The sequence below is a fragment of the Homo sapiens genome, chromosome 14 (assembly GCF_000001405.40).
Source record: "Homo sapiens chromosome 14, GRCh38.p14 Primary Assembly".
NCBI classification, from domain to species: Eukaryota; Metazoa; Chordata; class Mammalia; order Primates; family Hominidae; genus Homo; species Homo sapiens.
The window spans coordinates 60,161,329-60,180,437 of NC_000014.9; the positions used below are offsets into that span (position 1 = coordinate 60,161,329).

Genomic DNA, 19,109 nt, shown 5'->3' on the forward strand with positions numbered 1-19,109 from the left:
ATCATATTACAAACATTTTGCATCCCTTTTGTGACCTAGACAGACATTTAAATTGTGTTGCAATTCTGCTTTCTTGTTTTACAAAAAGCTGTTTCAGGAAGAAAAGAAAAGAAATGAAACCTGTCTTCTAAATGACAATCCCTCACAGCTGTTAGGGAAGACAGCCATTATGTCTTCCCTAAGTCCTTTCATCTCTTACCTTCTCTAAGGCTAAATAAACCTATCCAATTTCTGCCACCTTCCCTCACATGACATGGTATCAGGTTTCCTCACTCTTCTGCTCACACCCACCTGCACCAATTCTAGTTGGTTAATGTTCCTCTTTATTAAAGGGAGCTGGCTAGGGCAGGACACAGGATTCGGTAGGGTCTGGACAGTGCAGAGCAGGATGAGATGTCAAAAATCACTTCCCTTGTCCCCCAGAAGGTAGGGTCTATGAGGGCCTGGACTGTGGCTGATTCAGTCACTGCAGTGTCCCCAGTGCCCCAGCACAGAGGCCGGCACATACAAGCAGCTAGTCAGGAGACATCTGTTGTTTGCAGTTGTTGCTTCAGACACTGAGGTCTACAAATGCAACCCAAGGTTGCCTGATCTTTTCTGGCAGCCACTTCACAGTTGACTCCTATTGAGGTTACTGTTAACAAAAACCTGAGTTTTGCTCACATGTGCTGCTGTTGAAATTTTTCCTCCTCTAGACTTGTGCCATGGATTTTTCTGGACCATTTTAATGTCTAAAATTAGTCACCCTTAAATTTCACCATATGTGGCTGGGCTTGGCAGTTCACATCTGTTATCCTAGCACTTTGAGAGGCCAAGGTGGAAGGATCACTTGAGGCCAGGAGTTCAAGACCAGCCTGGAACATAGTGAGAGCCTGTTTCTACAAAAAGTTTAAAAATATCCAGGTGTGGTGGTTTGCACCTGTAGTCCTAGCTACTGGGGAGGCTGAGGTGGGAGGATTGCCTGAGCCCAGGAGTTCGAGGCTGCAGTGAGCTATGATCATGCCACTGCACTCCAGGCTGGGTGACAAAGCAAGACCTTGTCTCTCTATTAAAAAAAAAAAAAAATCACCATGTGAGATATATGCTTGGAAATGCACAGAATTTCTCTAGACGGATACAGAGGAGGCAGGAAATGGTGGCTGCCTCGAGAGAAGCACACTAGGTAGCTAGGGCACAAGGGTCAGAGAAAGCTCTTTACTTTTTACTATATATCTTTTTGTATTTTTACTTTTGTATTATGTGAGTGTGCTATTTTTTTAAGTGACAAAAAATAATAAACCTACAGAGAAGTCAAGAAGGATTTTTTTTTCTTTTTTCATCTTGATAGAGTCTGCCCATCTCTCCAGTCTGAGCTGTTTTGGGAATCTGAGTCTATTTCAATTTTCCTTTAATCTTTTCTTCTTTCTCACTCCCTACCTCCACCAGGAGTCTTTTTAGACTTTTTTTTCCCCTAAAACTCTCCTGTGAAATGTTAATTCCACAGATATACTGTATATCATTTATGTACTGTACATATATCTGTGCTTTATACATAAAAGGAGTTCTATAAAGTTTACTCCTGCCAGGCGCAGTGGCTAATGCCTGTAATCCCAACACTTTGGGAGGCAGAGCGGGGTGGATCACCTGAGGTCAGGGGTTTGAGACTAGCCTGGCCAACATGGCGAAACCCCAGGTCTACTAAAAATACAAAACTTACCCATGCGTGGTGGCACGCACCTGTAATCCCAGCTACTAGGGAGGCTGAAGCAGGAGAATCACTTGAACCCAGGAGATAGAGGTTGCAGTGAGCCAAGATCATACCACTGCACTCCAGCCTGGCCAACAGAGCGAGACTCTGTCTCAAAAAAAAAAAGAAAAAGAAAAAAAGCTTACTCCTTAGTTAATAAGCATATGACTAAATAAGCATATGACTAAATTTTAAAATTAAGTTAAATGTTAAATTAAAATTTAAAAGTTATTAACTTCTAACTTTATAACTGTATTTGCTGAAAAACATTTTTATGGTTTTTGAGACAGTGTCTCACTATGCTGCCCAGGCTGGTCTTGAACTCCTGGGCTCAAATGACCCTCCTACCTTAGCCTCCAGAGTAGTTGGGATTGCAGGTACATGCCACCACGCCAGATTTTTGCTGAATAACTTTTATGTAACTTACTTAGATAAATAGCAATTTATCAAACTACATGTGCAAATTTGCAAATTATATAACTACATAATGATAACAATGTAATTAAATTTAAAATCCTTCAAACTGTTCTTTTCCGACAAAACACAACTGAAAATATTAAATGAATTTCTTAAAATTTTCAATGATCTTAACTTTTAACTTTTCCTTAATATGAGAAAATAACTTTTAACTTAGTAGCTTAGAGATATTCATTCAGATGTTGTCAATAATTTTGCTTTTTAGCACTTGACATAATTTGATGGGTTGAATATTTTTTGTAGGATTAAATAATAAAATATAATCTATTTTCGTTTAATTCTCCAAGTCCAAGTGAACACAAAAGCACTAAAGATCAAACACAAACAACGTCTGCAAGGCAGCCAATGGCAGCCAATAGGCACACATATTCCCCCGCTGAGGTGGAACAATCGATCAAGAGAAAGCCCTTGGTTAATGAAGTTGTGCAGTATTTGGGATTCCTGCTTTAAAAGGAGAAAGCCCAATCACTTGCCATAGTTTTGTAGCACTGCTGTGGCGTCCATGTTGTGTATTTTTCGTGAACTCAATGTCAGTGCTGCACATGCTATACCCAAGAAAACCCAACCAGAAAAATGAAATACTAAGGAATAATATTTTCTCGGGTGGGGTTAAGCTTTGGAGGGGCACAAACCACTGTATTACCAGATTTTTTTTTTTTTTTTTTTTTGTCCACAGGAACCAATTCTCACCTTGGGATCAATATCACCCCCCTCAACGCCCAACCCATAACGCCCCCCCCAAACATAGTCTATCTTTCGAGCTACTATCTCTTCCAAGCAAACTTTGTAACATGCTTTGAGTATTTTTATACCAGAAACTTGGTCCAGGGAAACCCCATTTCCCCAAGTCCTTAAGGATCCAAAGCCTAGCTTTCGGTAGGTCATTTAATTTCTCTGAACATCAGTTTCCCTATCTGGAAAATAAGATTAATAATGCCTACCTTGTAAGAGTTGTTGTAAAAGTTAAATGTTATGTGTGTAAAGCGCTGAGCCAACATACAGCAAATGTACACGATGTCAAATATTAAGCAAGACACAGATAAAGTGAGATAGGCAGTATGCCAATAATGATCTCGCTCCAGCAAACTGCCATTTTTAGTTCTTTCTAGTGTTTGACTAGAATGAGTAAGTAGGTGAAGGACTTCGGATTATCTCAGATTTTATTTCAAAACTGCAGGAGTGGGAAGTGGAGGACAGACTACTTCAGGTAGTAGAACGACCGGGCTTCCGGTACTTACAAAGGAGTTTCCCTTACAAACGCAGGGGGACGCTCACTGTTTCTCAAAGTATCGTCCTCTGAGACAACACCAGAATCCCTTGAGTCCTGCGTAAGATGTCAGAGTCCTCAGGAGCACCGCCGACTCCAGTGCTCTCTTAACAGTTTGGCACTCCCTGGAGAGGTTTCCTAGCCTGAATGGCAAGTCCATGCCATCTTCCGACCAGTACAGAAGACAAAGGGGCTTTTTAGCCCTCGCCTCTTCCTCCCCAACCCGCAGCCCCTGCGTAAGGGGCAGCCGGGCCTTCGGGAAGCTCCACGCAACCCACAAAGGACCCGGGATCACTGCAGAACCCCCGGAGACCCGGACACGCCTCGGCAGCTCCGAGCCCGGCCTCCCACTCGGGAGAGGCTTTGGCCGGTCCTCACCTGGGCGTCGTCCCTGCCACTCGGCCCATAGTAGCGTCAGGTCGCCGTCAGCCCTCAGGAAGCGCAGCAGCTGCACCAAGAGCAGGAGCAGCGCGCACAGCACCAGCAGCCACAGCAGCAGCTCCCAGTTCATTGCGGCCGCGCACGCCCAGCTCGGGGGGAAGAAGACGGCCCGCACCAGAGTCGCGTCGCTGCCCTGCGGGATCGCAGCGCCACCCCTTCGGCCAGCCCAGAGCCGCACTGCCCCGGCTCCGCCCAGGGAGCAGGCCGGGAGGAGGAGCGGCTCGGGCGCGCCGGGCTCAGCACTCGCGGCCCCACTCGCGGTCCTTGGGCGGCCCGCGCCCTCATGCGGCACACCCGGCGGGGCCGGCAGATTGCTTGAATTCAAGTGTCCGAGACCAGCCTGGGCAACATGAGGAAACCCTGTGTCTACCAAAAATAAATAAATAAAATTCCAGTATTTTTAAAGAAGCTGATTCAAACATAAGCTACATATTATACTACGTTATTTCCTCTCTGTACAGGGACACTATCAACGGCCAGGAGACAGATAGAATCATTCTTGCTTGGCCCCTCTTCTCCATTCCTATTCAGAAAGAACATCCCCTTTTCAAGCTTCAGTATCTTTTCATGAGGTCGAGAAAGTGCTGAAGAAAGACTGTGGCTATCACTCAAGACCCCACAAGCCAAGGCAATGGTCCCTCCATGGGGACAAGGTCCTTTTACAATTAGAGAAAAAAAGACTGAAGCCATGTGCTGTGTTGGCACCTTACAACCTGATTCTGACCACACACAAATTTACTCTGGTGTCTGTTTGGCAACCAAAGCCTAGGTTGGTACCAAATCCTCCCCTTACCCAAGCCATTATTCACATCCTAATGTAAACAGCAAATAAAAACAGAGAATGTAATGAAAACACCAAGGTCTTGCCTACTCTAATACACAAAAGAGTAAAATACTGTTTTTGATTAATTTCCGTTTGAAATGACCTTCAAAACATTTAATTGCTTCCCACTAAATACCTACATGTATTTGAGGCATCAATAGTAGCATCTTTCTTGTTTTCAAGCATTTGAAAGCAAGAGGGTTTTCCATTCACAAGCCTCAGAGGGACCCAGTTAGAGTGCATAGAAACTAGGCCATGTATGAGAACGACCTGTGGCCAAATGGAGAAAGTTCTGGGCGTTGATGCAGTAGAACTTTCATCCTCTTCATTTCCTAGAGTACTTTGTGTGCTCTGATGTCAAAGGCTCTTCCTTGGCTGAAACTAAATATGACTTTAAAACAGTCATGGAAATAAAAGAAGCAGTGACTTCCCTCCCCAGTGTTGTTTTCTTTTTCTAGTCTTGCCTGCCAAACTTTTGTTTTTCTTTAAATGTTTTGAAGAATGTTACTTGCAGTAATCAAATTTCCTTAAATAGCTCTTCCTTCTCTTTTTAAATCCTATTATAAACCCCCTACCTGCCTCCCCACCCTCATCCTTCTCTAAAAAGCTTTTTGGGGTTATCTGGACTCAGAGTCATCTTTCCCTAATCTCACCTCTTTTCACAATTACTTCTGAACTATATCTGAAATTGTTTTTTAATTATTTTCAGGGTTAATATAGTATTGTTCCAATGGAACTTTAGAATCCTTGAAATAAAGTAGCAAATCTGATGCTTCTTTTGAAGAGTCTGGAATACATAGCTTAGTGTTGACATGAGAAGCAATAAGCCCACGTTGATTGAATTCTCCTTTCCTTGAAATTTAAACCTCCTTGATAGAGAGTAGAAGGATAGTTACCAGAGGCTGAGAAGAGTAGTGGGAGGGTTGGGGGGGACGTGGAGATGGTTAACGGATACAAAAAATAGAAAGAATGAATAAGACCTAGTATTTGATAGTGCAATGGGGTGCCTATAGTCAATAATAATTTAGTTGTATGTTTTAAAACAACCAGAAGAGTATAATTGGATTGTTTGTAACATAAAGGATAAATGCTTGAGGGGGTGGATACCCCATTTACCATGATGTGATTATTACACATTGTATGCCTGTATCAAAGTATCTCATGTACTCCATAAATATATACACCTACTGTGTACCCACAAAAATTAAAAATTAAAATTCAATTTTTTAAAACCTCCTTGAAGTTCGGAAGTTAATGTTAAAATGAGAGTTGCTAGCATTTAATAAATCAATCTTCTCTAAGTATTATTAAAATGCTTTGAATAAAGTCCGAAAGTCTTTTCTATAACTGGTAACCTTCATTTTTAATTCCAGATGTAATAGAATGGTACCCTGCCTTCCCTCCTTTTAGTAATGGTCACTTTTGATGGTCTGGGGTCAGGCCCATTCATGGCAGCTAAGGCCCATTCATGGCAGCTAAGGCCCATTCAGGTCAGCTAAGATGAAGGCAGTTGTGCGTAAGCAATTGCCATCTTCCATAACAAAAGCATTATACAAAAATAACTTTAAAAATCCAGATCCTCCAAGATCGGCAGTCCCTAGGCGGGGGAAAAAAAGAGTGAGTGGAAACTGTGAGTGGAAACAGGGACTGAGGAATCTAGGGAGGGAATATTCTTCCTCAAGAACAATAAGGGGTTTGTGGTTTTTGATTGAGGATGTTTTCACATCCCTTAGATGCTTTTGGAAATGTGTTGGATGAACAGTGGCCATAGTGCCAGCTAGCCAGGGTGTCATCAGAGTGCTAACGATCTGGGCACTATGTAAAGACATACCCAACAAAGAATTGCCCTGCCCCAAAAGCTCACAGCACCCTTACTCAGAAATCCTGCAACCTGGCCACGGTGGAGAGGAGCTCTGCAATCTATTAGCAGCCTCCCTCCACAAGCTCTGGCTTACACCTGCCTGGCTGTACCCCAGCTACAAGCGTTCAGGTCATGGTCTAGTTTTCTGATATTCTTCAGGCAGACAAGGTCTTACCTAGAGTCTTATTTATAAGAAAATATAACTTACTTTCTTACCTTTAGTAATCTCATGGGATCCCTCAATAGGAATATCTCACTGCACTGTTCACCACATGCAGTTCCCCATATCAGTGCATTGATATTTTGTTTAGATTAGCCAATTTCCACAGTATCTTGGGTCTCTTAAACATAAGCAGTTTATAGCTCTCATTCTCTCTCCCTTAAATGCTCTGTTTCAAACTTCCCTTTATATATCTTGTCCATGATTTAGTAGTGGTGGTTGTTATTCTAATCTAGAACTTCAAACACTCATGCACACATGAGTACATGCAAAGCTGGTGAAATTTGAACGAGGTCTGTGGATTTTGCCAATACCAATTCCCTGGTTCTGTTATTGTTCTAAAATTATGTAAAATTTACTAGTGGGGAGAACGGGGTACAGAGTACACGTCTGTTCCATCTTTGCAACTTCCTGTGAATCTATAATCATTTTAAAGTAAAAAGTTAAAAAAATTAGGTTAAATTTCTTAAAATATGCAAATATTTTCTTAAAATTCTAAAACTGATCAATGCTTTTTCCTCTCCTTCTCTTTTTTCTCCCCTCTCCAGCCAGGACCAGCCTTGGAGATAAGCAGAGTGAACAGAAATTTATGGTCTCAGATTTAAGAAAAACAAAATTCTTTCTTGCTTCTTAAATCATACTCCATCCCATTGGCTTGCAAACATGCTGACACTCCTCATAATTTCACTCTTCATAAACCAAAGCATAAGGTCAGAGGAGAACTTGACATATTAGAACACTTAGGCATTGAAAGTGGTTAGTCTAACTAACCCATTGAAGTTTTGGAGAACCTGGGACTCAAATTTTGGAAGATGTGACAGATGATATGTTAACATACATTGCACCGAGGCTGAAGTGGGAGGATTGCTTGAGACTGCCTGGAAGGCAGAAGTTGCAGTGAGCCGAGACTGATGGTGTCACTGCACTCCAGCCTGGGCAACAGAGCAAGACCCTGTCTTAAAAAAACAAAACAAACAAACAAAAGAAACCAAAAAAAAAAAAAAAAAAAAAAAAAAAACCATTGCACCAAGTAACAGTCAACTTTTCAGCAGAGGTGAGTAGAGTTAATCAGTTAAGGCTTTCTGGAATACCAGCCCACCTCAAGGCCTTGTACATACTGTTCTCTCCACATAGAGGGATGGCCAGAAATCCCCCAGATGGATCCAACAATGCTCACCTCCTGTGTGCAAACCACCATGTATTTCCCTCCCAGGTTGTATCAGGGTTGATCACTGTAACCAGCAGAATGCTGCAGAAATGATGAGTGTGTGACTCCCAAGGATAGGTCACAGAAGCTATTGCAGCTTCTACCTCTTGCTCTCTCTTGTTTATACCTTTACTAAAGTATAATTCGAGTACAAGAAACTGCACATATTTAAGGTATACAACTTGATGAGTTTGTCAAATATATACACCTGTGAAACCATCACCACAATCAAGGTAAACATTTCAATCACCCCCAAAAGGGGTGACCCTTTGAAATCCACCCATCCTCCACCCCTTCCCTAGGCAGCCACTGATCTATTCTCTGTCACTGTATGGAAACACCTTACCTGTTTCCTCTGTGGGATGTAAAGTCCCATTTCTGGATCCTTTCAGGTCCCTGTCTAATGTCTATTCTCTTTGCCTTGCCCTTACTTTTGTTCAGATCAACTTTAGCCTTAGCAGGGAATTTGGTTTTGTAATTCCGAACCCTAAGCAGTCTTGGATTGCTGTCTGCTGAGATGGGGCATGAGAGCAGTGAGGAGCGTGATCTCTTTTAACAAAGCCGTATGCTGTTCCCAGCTATCTAAGACCAAGGCTTATCTCTTTCTAGTAGGATCTTGACAGGAGCCACAAGAAGTAACCAAGACAACAAGAGTTAACCTGTCCATATGCTTTCTAATTGCCAGGCCTATTCTAAGTGCTTTATATATATTAAATCCCTTAATCTTCACAATAATCCAGTTAATTAGGTACTATTTTAATTCCCATTTCCCTGATGAGGAAGCTTAATTGTGATTAAGTAACTTGCCCTAGGTCACACAGCTAGGAGACAGGGTCTTTGAACCTAGGTAGTCTAATTTCAGTCTTTGCTCTTGAACCACCATATAATACTGCCTCTCACACCAGAGCAGCCTAATTTTGTTCTGCTGGATTCCCTGAAGCTTCTACCTTAGTATGTACAGGTCTGAATCCCAAAGAAACTACAATAACATCTTAATGAGCTGCTTCATTACCATATCATAAAGACTGCCCACTTCCCACCCAGGGATGGAGGGAGATGGAGAGAGCCTCACTGCCTCCTACTCCACCTTGACACAGTAGTTCACATTTTAGGATATTTCATTTCTAGCACTCTACTTCTGGGTACCAATGTCTCAATCAGTCGGTACTCTCAATCGCAAATGGCAGAGACCCACTAAAATTAGCTTACGAGAAATGTTAAGGAATGTATTTGTGCCCCCATAGGTAAATCCCCTACCCTAAGGATGTGGCCTGCCTCTGCAACCAACCTGAGGTCCAGGTGAAAACCACTAACCTGTGGGCCAGGAGCCCAAGCACAGCACTGAGGCCTGTTACTTGGAGACAGAAGTGCTCAGGCAGAGTCCAGGGTCATTACCTTCATTTGGTAAGAATTTTGATGTTGATTTCTAGTGTCTAGAGACCTCAATATCCAAAATAAACATTAATATATTAATTTTCTAGGGCCGCCATAACAAAATATCACAGACTGGATGGCTTAAACAACAGAAATTTATTTTCTCACAGTGCTGGAGTCTAGAAGTTCAAGGTCAAGGTGCTGACAGGGCTGGTTTCCTCTGAGGTCCCCCTCCTTGACTTGAAGACCACCCCCTCTCCTTGTCTCATACCTCAGAAAAAGAAAGAGAATTCAAAAGTTACAGAAAGGCAAAAATAAGATCAATAGTCAGACAGCCCACTGCAGCACCTCCAGCCTGGTAGTTAAAAATCAACCCCTGACCTAACTGCTTGTATTATCCATAGATTCCAGGCATTGTGTGAAGAAGCATTGTGAAATTTTCTGTTCTGTTCTGTTCTGCTCTGTCTTGATTACCGGTGCATGCAGCCCAAGTCCCATACCCCATGCTTGCTCAATCGATCACAACCCTTTCACGTAGACCACCTTAGAGTTGTAAGCCCTTAAAGGGGGCAGGAATTTCTCTCCCAGGGAGCTCGGCTTTTGAGATGCAAGTCTGCAGAAGCTCCCAGCTGAATAAAGCTCCTTCCTTCTTTAACCCGGTATCTAAGGAGTTTTGTCTGTGGCTCGTCCTGCTATAGCAGATGGTCGTCTTCTTCCTGTCTTCACATAGTCTTTTCTCTGTGTGCATCTGTGTCCTAATCTCCTCTTCTTATAAGGACATCATCAATCATATTGGATCAGGGCCCACTGACATGACCTCGTTTTACCTTAACCACCTCTTTAACAAGCTCATCCCCAAATACAGTCTCATTCTGAGGTACTAGGAGTTAAAACTTCAACATATTAATTTCAGGAGAACACAATTCAGACCATCACAATAAACAAAAAATAAAGCTGAATTTATTGCTTAGGTATATAAGGGAGAGCTATGCTGACCAGGCCCAGTCTCTCTAAGCAGATCAGGGAACTGATCTTAATACAGCTCTGCAGAAGCATGGAGTTTGGTGACTGGCAGAGTAGGTTGATGTCAGCTGAAGAACTGTAGTTACTTGAGTGAGACTTTAGTAGATTGGCACTCAGTGGTGTGTTCATTGAAGCAGTCCATTCCCAGGTGGTTTGCTTTCACAAGCAAGGGGTTTTCGCTGCTGGGTTGGCTTCCAGAATCATGCTTGCAGAGGTGAGTTGTTGACGGATTAAGTAGATTTAAAATCATTTCTGGTGGTTGATCTTGTATCCTGGCTGTAAATTTTTCCTAGGAGTGTGGGAACTTTTTAAAGTTTTCACTAGTGTCAAAATAATACTTAAGTTGGGCGTGGTGGCTCACACCTCTAATCCCAGCACTTTGGGAAGCAGAGGTGGGAGGATTGCTTGAGCTCATAAGTTTGAGACCAGCCTGGACAACGTAGCAAGATCTCATTTTTATAAAAAAATCAAAAAAATTAGCCAGGCATGGTAGCACACACCTGTAGTCCCAGCTACTCTGGAGGCTGAGGCAGGAGGATCACATGAGCCCAGGAGGCTGTGGTGAGCCATGATTGTGCCACTGCACTCCAGCCTGGGAAACAGAGCAAGAGCCTGTCTCAAAAAATAATACTTCAGAAAGAGTTAGTTATTGCAAGTAGATAGCTTACTTATATACATGAAAGAGAAGATTCAAGGAACAAAGGCAAAGCATTATTTAAAAGGGTGAAGAGAGAGACAAAAGTACAAGCAGCCAGGGAACAATACGTCTTGTTTGCACAATTTGTGGATAAATTCATTACCTGGCATGTAGCAAAGAGGACGCCCTGGACAGTTGCCCTTGGGCAGGTGGATTGAGGGAATAAAAAAAAAAAAAGTTTGTTTTTTTTTAACGGAGTTTTGCTGAAAAGCACACATGACAGGCTGTGCCCTCTGTGTAATGTCTCCCCCTGTGTCTCCAGGAAACACCCCCTTAGCTAGGCCAGGTCTGCACCCTTTCCCTCATCAGGATTCCTCACCAATCACAGGGTTCCCAGGAAACAGAGTGGACTGCCTGGTAAGGGAGTTGTGTTGTCAGAGAACTTTGGGCCTAAATGGCACAATCTCTGAGGCAGTTCTCATACCCCTCACTGGCTCCAATAACAGTGCAGGGAAGGGAAGACAAACCCTTACCTTTGTTCCTTCTGGTGTGCAGAGCTTACCATAACCAGACTGGCAATTTTCTCTCAAGGAGTGAGGCCTTCCTGTCCCTGCAGCGCAGGACATGACTATGCCATGGATCAGTGGGAGGTCTCATTGTAGTTGTCTTTCCCTCTAACATTGGATATTGTGTGTGTTGGAGGTTTTTACATGTATTATTTAATATATTTAAATATATTTGGACCACACCTGCACCAAAGGAATATACATCAACAGGTACCAGACTTGAAGGTGAATGCCAGTGACTTTGGGTTGTCTTTCTTTGGGAAGCAATGCATGGATTATATACAGAAGAGTTGCATTTTGTCATTAAGGGGCACTTTAAAAAATAATAAGGGAAGAAAAGTGTGTAAGCACTAGTCAGCCAGTGGCTGCATATGTGACCAACACCTGGCCAAAGAATGCTCATTCCCCCAGTCTAACTGATGAGTTCTGGGATGGACACATGAGCCCAGCCAACCACTCAGCATCCCTCCAAGGACTCACTGGCTAGTGCTGTTGGGGGAGATTTTCTGTTGCTTTGGGAAAATGTGACCAAACTCACTGACCAGGTGGAAGAGGCACATTTGAACTATGATAGAATGAGAACAACATGCAAAGAAAAGCAGAAACAGACATGAAAGATGAATGAGGAGAGCTTGGTCACTGTTAAATCCCTAGTTTTTGAGGCTTCTCCCCTAGTTCTATGACCCATTCTGTATTCTTCCCATTGATATTTGTGTCAACAACTTCTTTCCTTTTTTTAACTCAACTAGTTTTTTTTCAACTAGTTTAAATTGAATTTCTGTCACTTGCAACCAAGAGTCCTACACAATATAGTGCTTTTTACTTTTATTTTATAAAGATCATCATAATTATGACTTTATTATAATTTTGACCTTAATTATAATTGCAATTTTACTCATGTTATTTTCTCTCCTCCATCATAAATTTTTTCCTCTGTAAATTTGCATCAGCATAAAACATGCACAATATGTTCCATCTTAAAGAAAAAACATTTCTTTGATCCCCCACATTCTTCTCCAGTTATTGTTTCATTTTTCTCTGCACCCCTTTAAATCAAAATTCAATAGTTATCTATGTGCAGTGTTTCCACTTCATCATCTTCATTCTCTCTTCTACTTATGCCGGTCAGGCTTTTGTCCCTACTATTCCACTGAAACCACTCTTCTTATTGTCACCAGTGATCCCCATCTTGATATATTAAATGATCAGTGGTCAGTCTTCATCTTACTCAACCTCTCAACAGCATTCGACACAGCTGGTCATTTCCTTATTTTTCAAACCCTCTTTTTTTTTACTTGGTTTCCAGTGATTTCCCTCTTACTGATATAGAAGTTAAAAAGAAATTATTTAGGCAGATAGGGTAAGGTTTTCCTTTTAATGAAAAGCAGTCCCCAAATCATTTTCTTTTCTAACGCAGAGTAGCCTGTAAAATCAAGCTGCAGACAGAGACAAGAAAGCTGGAAGCCTGCATGGGTGAATGCCAGCAGTTGGGTCAATAGGAAAAGGCGACTTGGGACTAGGCATGATCAGAATGACGGCCCCATCTTCCCTTCTTTTTGACAAACCACGTGTACAGTAAGGAGGAGAAAACATGACAATGGCCAGGTGAAGACCCCATTTGCATAGTAAGATTAGGGTGGGGCAGCCAGCTTCCCCACATATTATGTAAATGTCACATCTGGTCCAACCAATCTGTGGGCCCTATGTAAATCAGACACCGCCTCCTCAAGCCTGTCTATAAAATCTGGTGCACTCAGCTGTGGACTGGAAGTCTGATTTGGGTGCCCCTCTCTCTCGCAAGAGGCAGAGCTGTTCTTTCTCTTTCTTTTGCCTTTTAAACCTCCGCTCCTAAACTGACTTCTTGTGTTGGTGTCCTTGATTTCCTTGGCGTGAGACAACGAGCCCCAGGTGTGTACCCCAGACAGTGGTGCTACTTCATTAGCTCATAGGTGCTGGTTCCTTCTCAGTCTCCATTGCTGGGTTCTCCTTTTCCTTTTCCTAGCCTTTGAATTTGGAGTACCCCAGGACAGTCTTCGACCTTCCTTTTCTCCTCCATCTATTCATATATGCTGGTGTTCTCTGTACTCTCATGAGTTGCAAAAGTGTGTTTCTGGCACTGACCTCTCCTGTCAGGTCCAAACTCACATCCTCACTAGTTGCCTAATCCTCATCTCAATCTTAAAATATCTAAAACAGAACTCATGATTCCTACCTCTAAACTGTTCGTACCTGCAGTGTTCTCCCATCTTAGTAAATGATACTCTATTTGTGCAGCCCCCAAACCTCAGAATCATCCCTAATAGGATGTTGAGTGGAAATTTTCTTGTGGCCTCAGAATTGGCCACTAGAATCCAGCTCTGAGAAAAAAGATACATCTTGCACAATCCATATTCTAAAAAGAGCCAGTCATCTCCTTGGGCTTATTCATAGGAAAAGAACCTGTCATGCCACTCCTCAACATGACCCCAATGATTCCCTCTCCCATTTTTAACCTGTCCTGGAAGGAGATGTCAGAGAGAGTTGTGGGAAATGAGGCAGTGAGTCAACAGCCTCAGGGAAGGCCCATGGCTTTTTCCTCCTTCCTCATGCAAAGGGAAAGTGAGTGCTCCCTCCTCTAAGACAAGCGCAGGGAAGCTCACAGGAATTGGGACACCTGAAAGAAGGGAGACTGGCGAGAAGGGAGACAGCTGTTAGCTTTTGCTCAGGCAGCAGACTTAATTAAGCAGGGAAAAGAGAAGTGAGAAGTGAGATGGCAAAGCAGACAGAGGGACCACAGTGGGGCTGCCTATAAGACCATTACTGGGTGTGGCAAGGACTCTAGAATTTCCTGAGGCCCAAGTGATGGGAGGTAACAAGACTTATGTCACCACATCAGAGGACTGGCAGCATGTCAAAGGGAACCCAACAGTAAGACCATGGGGATGGAGCTGAGAGATTAGAAGAGATTGGATTGGAATCCGATCTCCCCTGGCAGAAAACTAGGCAGAGGGAAGTCTCCTTGGAATTGTTCTGAGAGCCTCCATATGACCACTGAAAAGACCCAAGAACTGGGATGTCCGCTGCACAGAAGGCATCAACAAAGTGGAGAGGTTTGCAATTGCACAACCACTTAAATGAAAGTGAAGGCCGGGTGCGGCGGTTCACGCTTGCAATCCCAGCACTTTGGGAAGCCAAGGTGGGAGGATTGCTTGAGCCCAGGAGTTTGAGACCAGCCTGGGCAACATGGCAAGTCCCCGTCTCTACAAAAAAAATTAAAAATGAGCCCAGCGAGGTGGTGTGTGCCTGTAGTTCCAGACACTGGGGAGGCATGAGGTTGGCTTCAGCCCAGGAGATAGAGGCTGCAGGGAATTATGATCATGCCACTGCACTCCAGCCTGGGTGACAAAGTGAGACTTTGTCTCAAAAAGAAAAAAAAAAGTGACTTGTCCCTTTTCATCTCCCCTCTGCCATTCCAAAATTGGCCTGCATGTGTAGCAATGGGAGATGGGGAGTGAGCATGTGTGGACAGGGGGTAGAGAAGAGATGAACATGAAATTAAAATTGAGATAAAGTTTTAAACTGGAATAGGCTAGATCAGGCATTATAATGCTTGAACATGATCAGATAACTGTGCCACCTGTCAGAAATACTGTAAAGGGACAAGAAAGGAAGATTTAATAGTAATTAGAATAAAATGAAACTGTTTCAAATGTATACCCCTGTAGATTGAAATAGTCAAATAAGCCAGTTACTATTTCTAGCTCTAAATGTGCTTCTCTTCTAGTTGACTACATCCCAAATCCTGCCATTTCTTACCCCATTCATTCTTATTATCCTGGTCCAAGCTAACACCACCTCTCCGCTTAATCACTGCCATGGCCTCCTCACTGGGCCCACGACTGTCACTCTCCGCTCCTCCTCCCCCATGTCTATTTTCTACTCAATAGCTAGAGTTCTCTTTTAAAAGCCTAAAAGTCAGTTACCTACTCAAAATATTTGGAATGAAACCTAAACTTTCACTGAACATAGTGGTCCACACTATGTAATCCCAACACTTTGGGAGGCCAAGGTGGGAGTATCACTTGAACCCAGGAGTTAGAGACCAGCCTGGGCAACATGGTGAGACACTGTCTCTACAAAACAGTAAAAAATTAGGCAGGTGTGATGACATGCAACTGTAGTCCCAGCTACTCAGAAGGCTGAGGTGGGAGGATCACTTGAGCCCAGGAGATCAAGGTTGCAGTGAGCCTTGATGGGGCCACTGCACTCCAGCCTGAGTGACAGAGCAACATCCTGTCCCCAACAAACAAATAAAACCCCTGAACTTTGCCAAAGGGAGCAGCCGTTGGTGTGTTGTATTTCTTTAGAGTATCAGTAACCTATTATATTAATCAGCAGTGATGAGTAATTAAAGAGAAATCTAATTCAAATAGGAAAAGAAAAATATTGTTGCCTTTTGTTGATTAGGTACAGAAAATTTGGTACCATATTGTAAAAGTACCAATTTCCTTATCTCACCCAAGTTGATACAAAACCATCATTACCACTGTCTGCCATCTCACAGAATCACACAAACTACTGGAGAATTTTCATCTTCCTTTTCACTCCCTACCAAAGCATTCATTTATTCATTTAAAAACAATTGCACTCACTATATAACAGCTTATGAGCTGTAAATACAACAATGGATAGAACAGACAAAAATTCCTTCCCTCATGGAACTTACATTCTGGTGAATGGGCCTTTTACTTTAATGATTAGATTAAAATAATGCTGTGAAGTATGCATGTGGGGGGGGGGGAGGTATCAAAATGCTATAACTCATTTATTCATTTAGTTATCCATTAGGCATTAAATTAGGAAGTGCATGTTACATTCTGAAACTTACCTTTTCAGAAGTCAGTTGCCAGTATAATGAAACACTTGCTTTGAAATGATGAAAATTAGATTTCAAATAAAAAACTTTTTCATTTTTATAAATTAACATTAATAGATTTTTTTAAAATTAAAAATAGCAAAAGTTTATTGCAATCCATGTAAATAAATGATGCAGGAAGGCATAAGGAAAAGTAGATGACCTTCCCTGTGTGAACTCTCACCTACCACAGTAGGCTAACCATAGCTCAGAGCCTGGGATGAGCCTTCCTACAACATTCCCTTTCTCATATAAACATTCCCAAATATTATAATTAATTTTATGTAATTTCCATTTTCATTTCATTTAAAAATGATCAAATATCAGCAATATCCCTATGGTTTTTTGCTTGAACTTATAAAAACAGTATTGTATTATACACTTCACACTGAGACTTGCTTTTCCAGTTTACCAATATCATGAACATCCCTCCAGATAGATTTAGTAGATTTGACACTTTCTTTTTAATCACTGTCTACTATTCCATTGAATAGATATACCACAATTATTCAATCATATCCATTACTGATGGGCATTAAAACTGTTTCCTTTTTGTATTAAATAACTACAACCAATGGTTTATATCCATGTGTATCTGTGTTCCTTATATACTGATGCTGTTATTTCTATGAGATGAATTCCTAAGAGTAAAATTGCCGAATTAAGAGTATATTTAGGTTTGTTTAGATATGCAAATACTTACCATTGTGTTTTAATTGCCTACAGTATTCAGTACAGTAACATGCTATACAGGTTTGTAGCCTAGGGTATAGTATCTATCCTAGGTGTGTAGTAAGCTATACCATCTAGGTTTGTTTAAGTACACTCTACGATGTTGATATAATGACAGAATCGCCTAACAACCCATTTCTCAGAAAGTATTCTCATCATTAAGCAACACATGGCTGTGTTTGTTCCTTTGTACTCCGTATTACTTCATGCTATTTCAAATTTTGTGTTCTTTTAAATTGTGTTTTCTAGTTACTTGCTGCTGGTATATGAATATGAAATTAACTATTATAAATTGCTTCGATAACAAGGCACTGTGCTAAATTATCCTATTTTTAAATTCTATATGTTTTCTATGTAATTAAACCTATTATTAATAATATAATGATAGTCTAATTTCTTTTTCCAATACTTATGTCTTGATTTCTTTTTTTTTTTTTTGCACTGTCAGGAATTTCTAATACAGTGTTGACTTGAAGTGATAAAATGGGTAACATTGCCTAGTCCCTAACTTTATTAGGAAAGCTTAAAATTTTTCTGATTTAGGATTATGTTTGCTGAAGTTTTTTATAGATAGATAGATAGGCAGAATCTTTAGGTGAAGAATATTCTGTTTCTTTTACCCTCCATTTTTTACTACAAAACTTTCCAAATATACAAAAGTTAAAAGAATAGTACATGATCATCCATATACCCACTAACTATTAGCAATTTGTCATATTTGTTTCATCTATAAGAAATATAAATGGGGCTATGAAGGCTGTGGGAAATCGTACAGTGATTGAAATCATATATAAACATAGCAATGTCTTTGGGGTCTAAAAAATTAGTGCTTTCTAAACTTTATGAAGGAGTTTCCAACAAACGACTTATTAATGTTGATCAGCACATTGGATCGGAATGTTGGAATGCTGGCAGCAGGTTTGTAGGCAGATGCTTGTTCTTTAGCAGACATAGCAAGAGAAGAAGTTTCCAACTTTAAATCTGACTTTGGTTATAACACTCCACTAAAACATCTTGCAAACAGAGTGGACATGTATGTACATGCATATACACTCTACAGTGCTGTTAGATCTTTTGCCTTCAGTTTCATGTTAGGGTCTTACAGTATGAATGACAGTGCACAATTTTCCATGATTGACTCATCAGGTGTTTTATATGGTTATTGGGCCTGTGCCACTGGCAAAGCCAGGCAAGCTGTAAAACAGAAATAGAAAAGCTTCAGATGAAAGAAATGACCTGCTATGATACTGTTACAGAAGTTGCTCAAGTAATTTACATAGTACATGATGACGCTAAGGATAAAGTTTACGAACTCAGCTGGGTTAGTGGTTTAACTAAAGGAAGACATGAAATTGTTTCAAAAGATATAAGGGAATAAGCAGATAAATATGCTAAAGAATCCTTGAGTGAAGAAGACAGGTCAGATGATGATAATATGTAAAATTTACTCCAGTATCTATTCTATGTTAAATTCCTATTACAATCCCGCGTAACTATATAGCCCTGTGGATTACACATACCCACTGACCAATTTTTTATTAAATTTTCATCTTGTAAAAGACAAAACAGAAACAACAACAAGATAATTTTAAAAATTAAAAATATTACCCCACTACTTTCTGGCCTCCATGATTTCTAATGAGGAACCCGCCATCAGTCTTATTAAAGATCACTTGTACATGATGAGTTGCTTCTCCATCTTTGTCTTTTGATAATTTGATTATGTGTCCTGGCATGATTCCTTTTGCATTTATCCTTCTTGGAGTTAATTGAGCTCCTTAAATGCTTAAATTCATGTTTTAATTTTTAAAAATCAAATTCAGGAAATTTTAAGCCATTATTTGTTCAAATATTTTTTTCT

General features: G+C 41.2%; 1 protein-coding gene and 2 pseudogenes across 4 annotated transcripts in view, besides 3 other annotated features; 2 read left to right on the forward strand and 1 right to left on the reverse strand.

Moving 5' to 3' along the window:
- The window catches only part of SCOCP1 (short coiled-coil protein pseudogene 1), a 2,415-nt pseudogene extending 2,318 nt beyond the window's left edge, over positions 1–97 (forward strand).
- The window catches only part of DHRS7 (dehydrogenase/reductase 7), a 25,771-nt gene extending 17,210 nt beyond the window's left edge, over positions 1–8,561 (reverse strand). For 3 of the 4 annotated variants that reach the window (NM_001322282.2, NM_016029.4, NM_001322281.2), the window contains exon 1: positions 3,849–4,070. In NM_001322282.2, the coding sequence (NP_001309211.1) occupies positions 3,849–3,981 (133 nt within the window). In that variant the 5' untranslated portion in view covers positions 3,982–4,070. Of the gene's footprint in view, positions 1–3,848; positions 4,071–8,368 lie in introns of those variants that run through there. The other variant, NM_001322280.2, reaches the window with a different exon arrangement.
- Positions 3,534–3,593: an enhancer, noted in NCBI's record as "active region_8467". NCBI's record gives its function as "activates an Ori minimal core promoter by ATAC-STARR-seq in GM12878 lymphoblastoid cells {active_cell/tissue: GM12878}" and the evidence as "EXISTENCE:reporter gene assay evidence [ECO:0000049][PMID:35858748]".
- Positions 3,784–3,833: an enhancer, noted in NCBI's record as "active region_8468". NCBI's record gives its function as "activates an Ori minimal core promoter by ATAC-STARR-seq in GM12878 lymphoblastoid cells {active_cell/tissue: GM12878}" and the evidence as "EXISTENCE:reporter gene assay evidence [ECO:0000049][PMID:35858748]".
- Positions 4,034–4,303: a silencer, noted in NCBI's record as "silent region_5808". NCBI's record gives its function as "represses an Ori minimal core promoter by ATAC-STARR-seq in GM12878 lymphoblastoid cells {active_cell/tissue: GM12878}" and the evidence as "EXISTENCE:reporter gene assay evidence [ECO:0000049][PMID:35858748]".
- On the forward strand, positions 17,996–18,805 carry PSMA3P1 (proteasome subunit alpha 3 pseudogene 1; annotated as a pseudogene).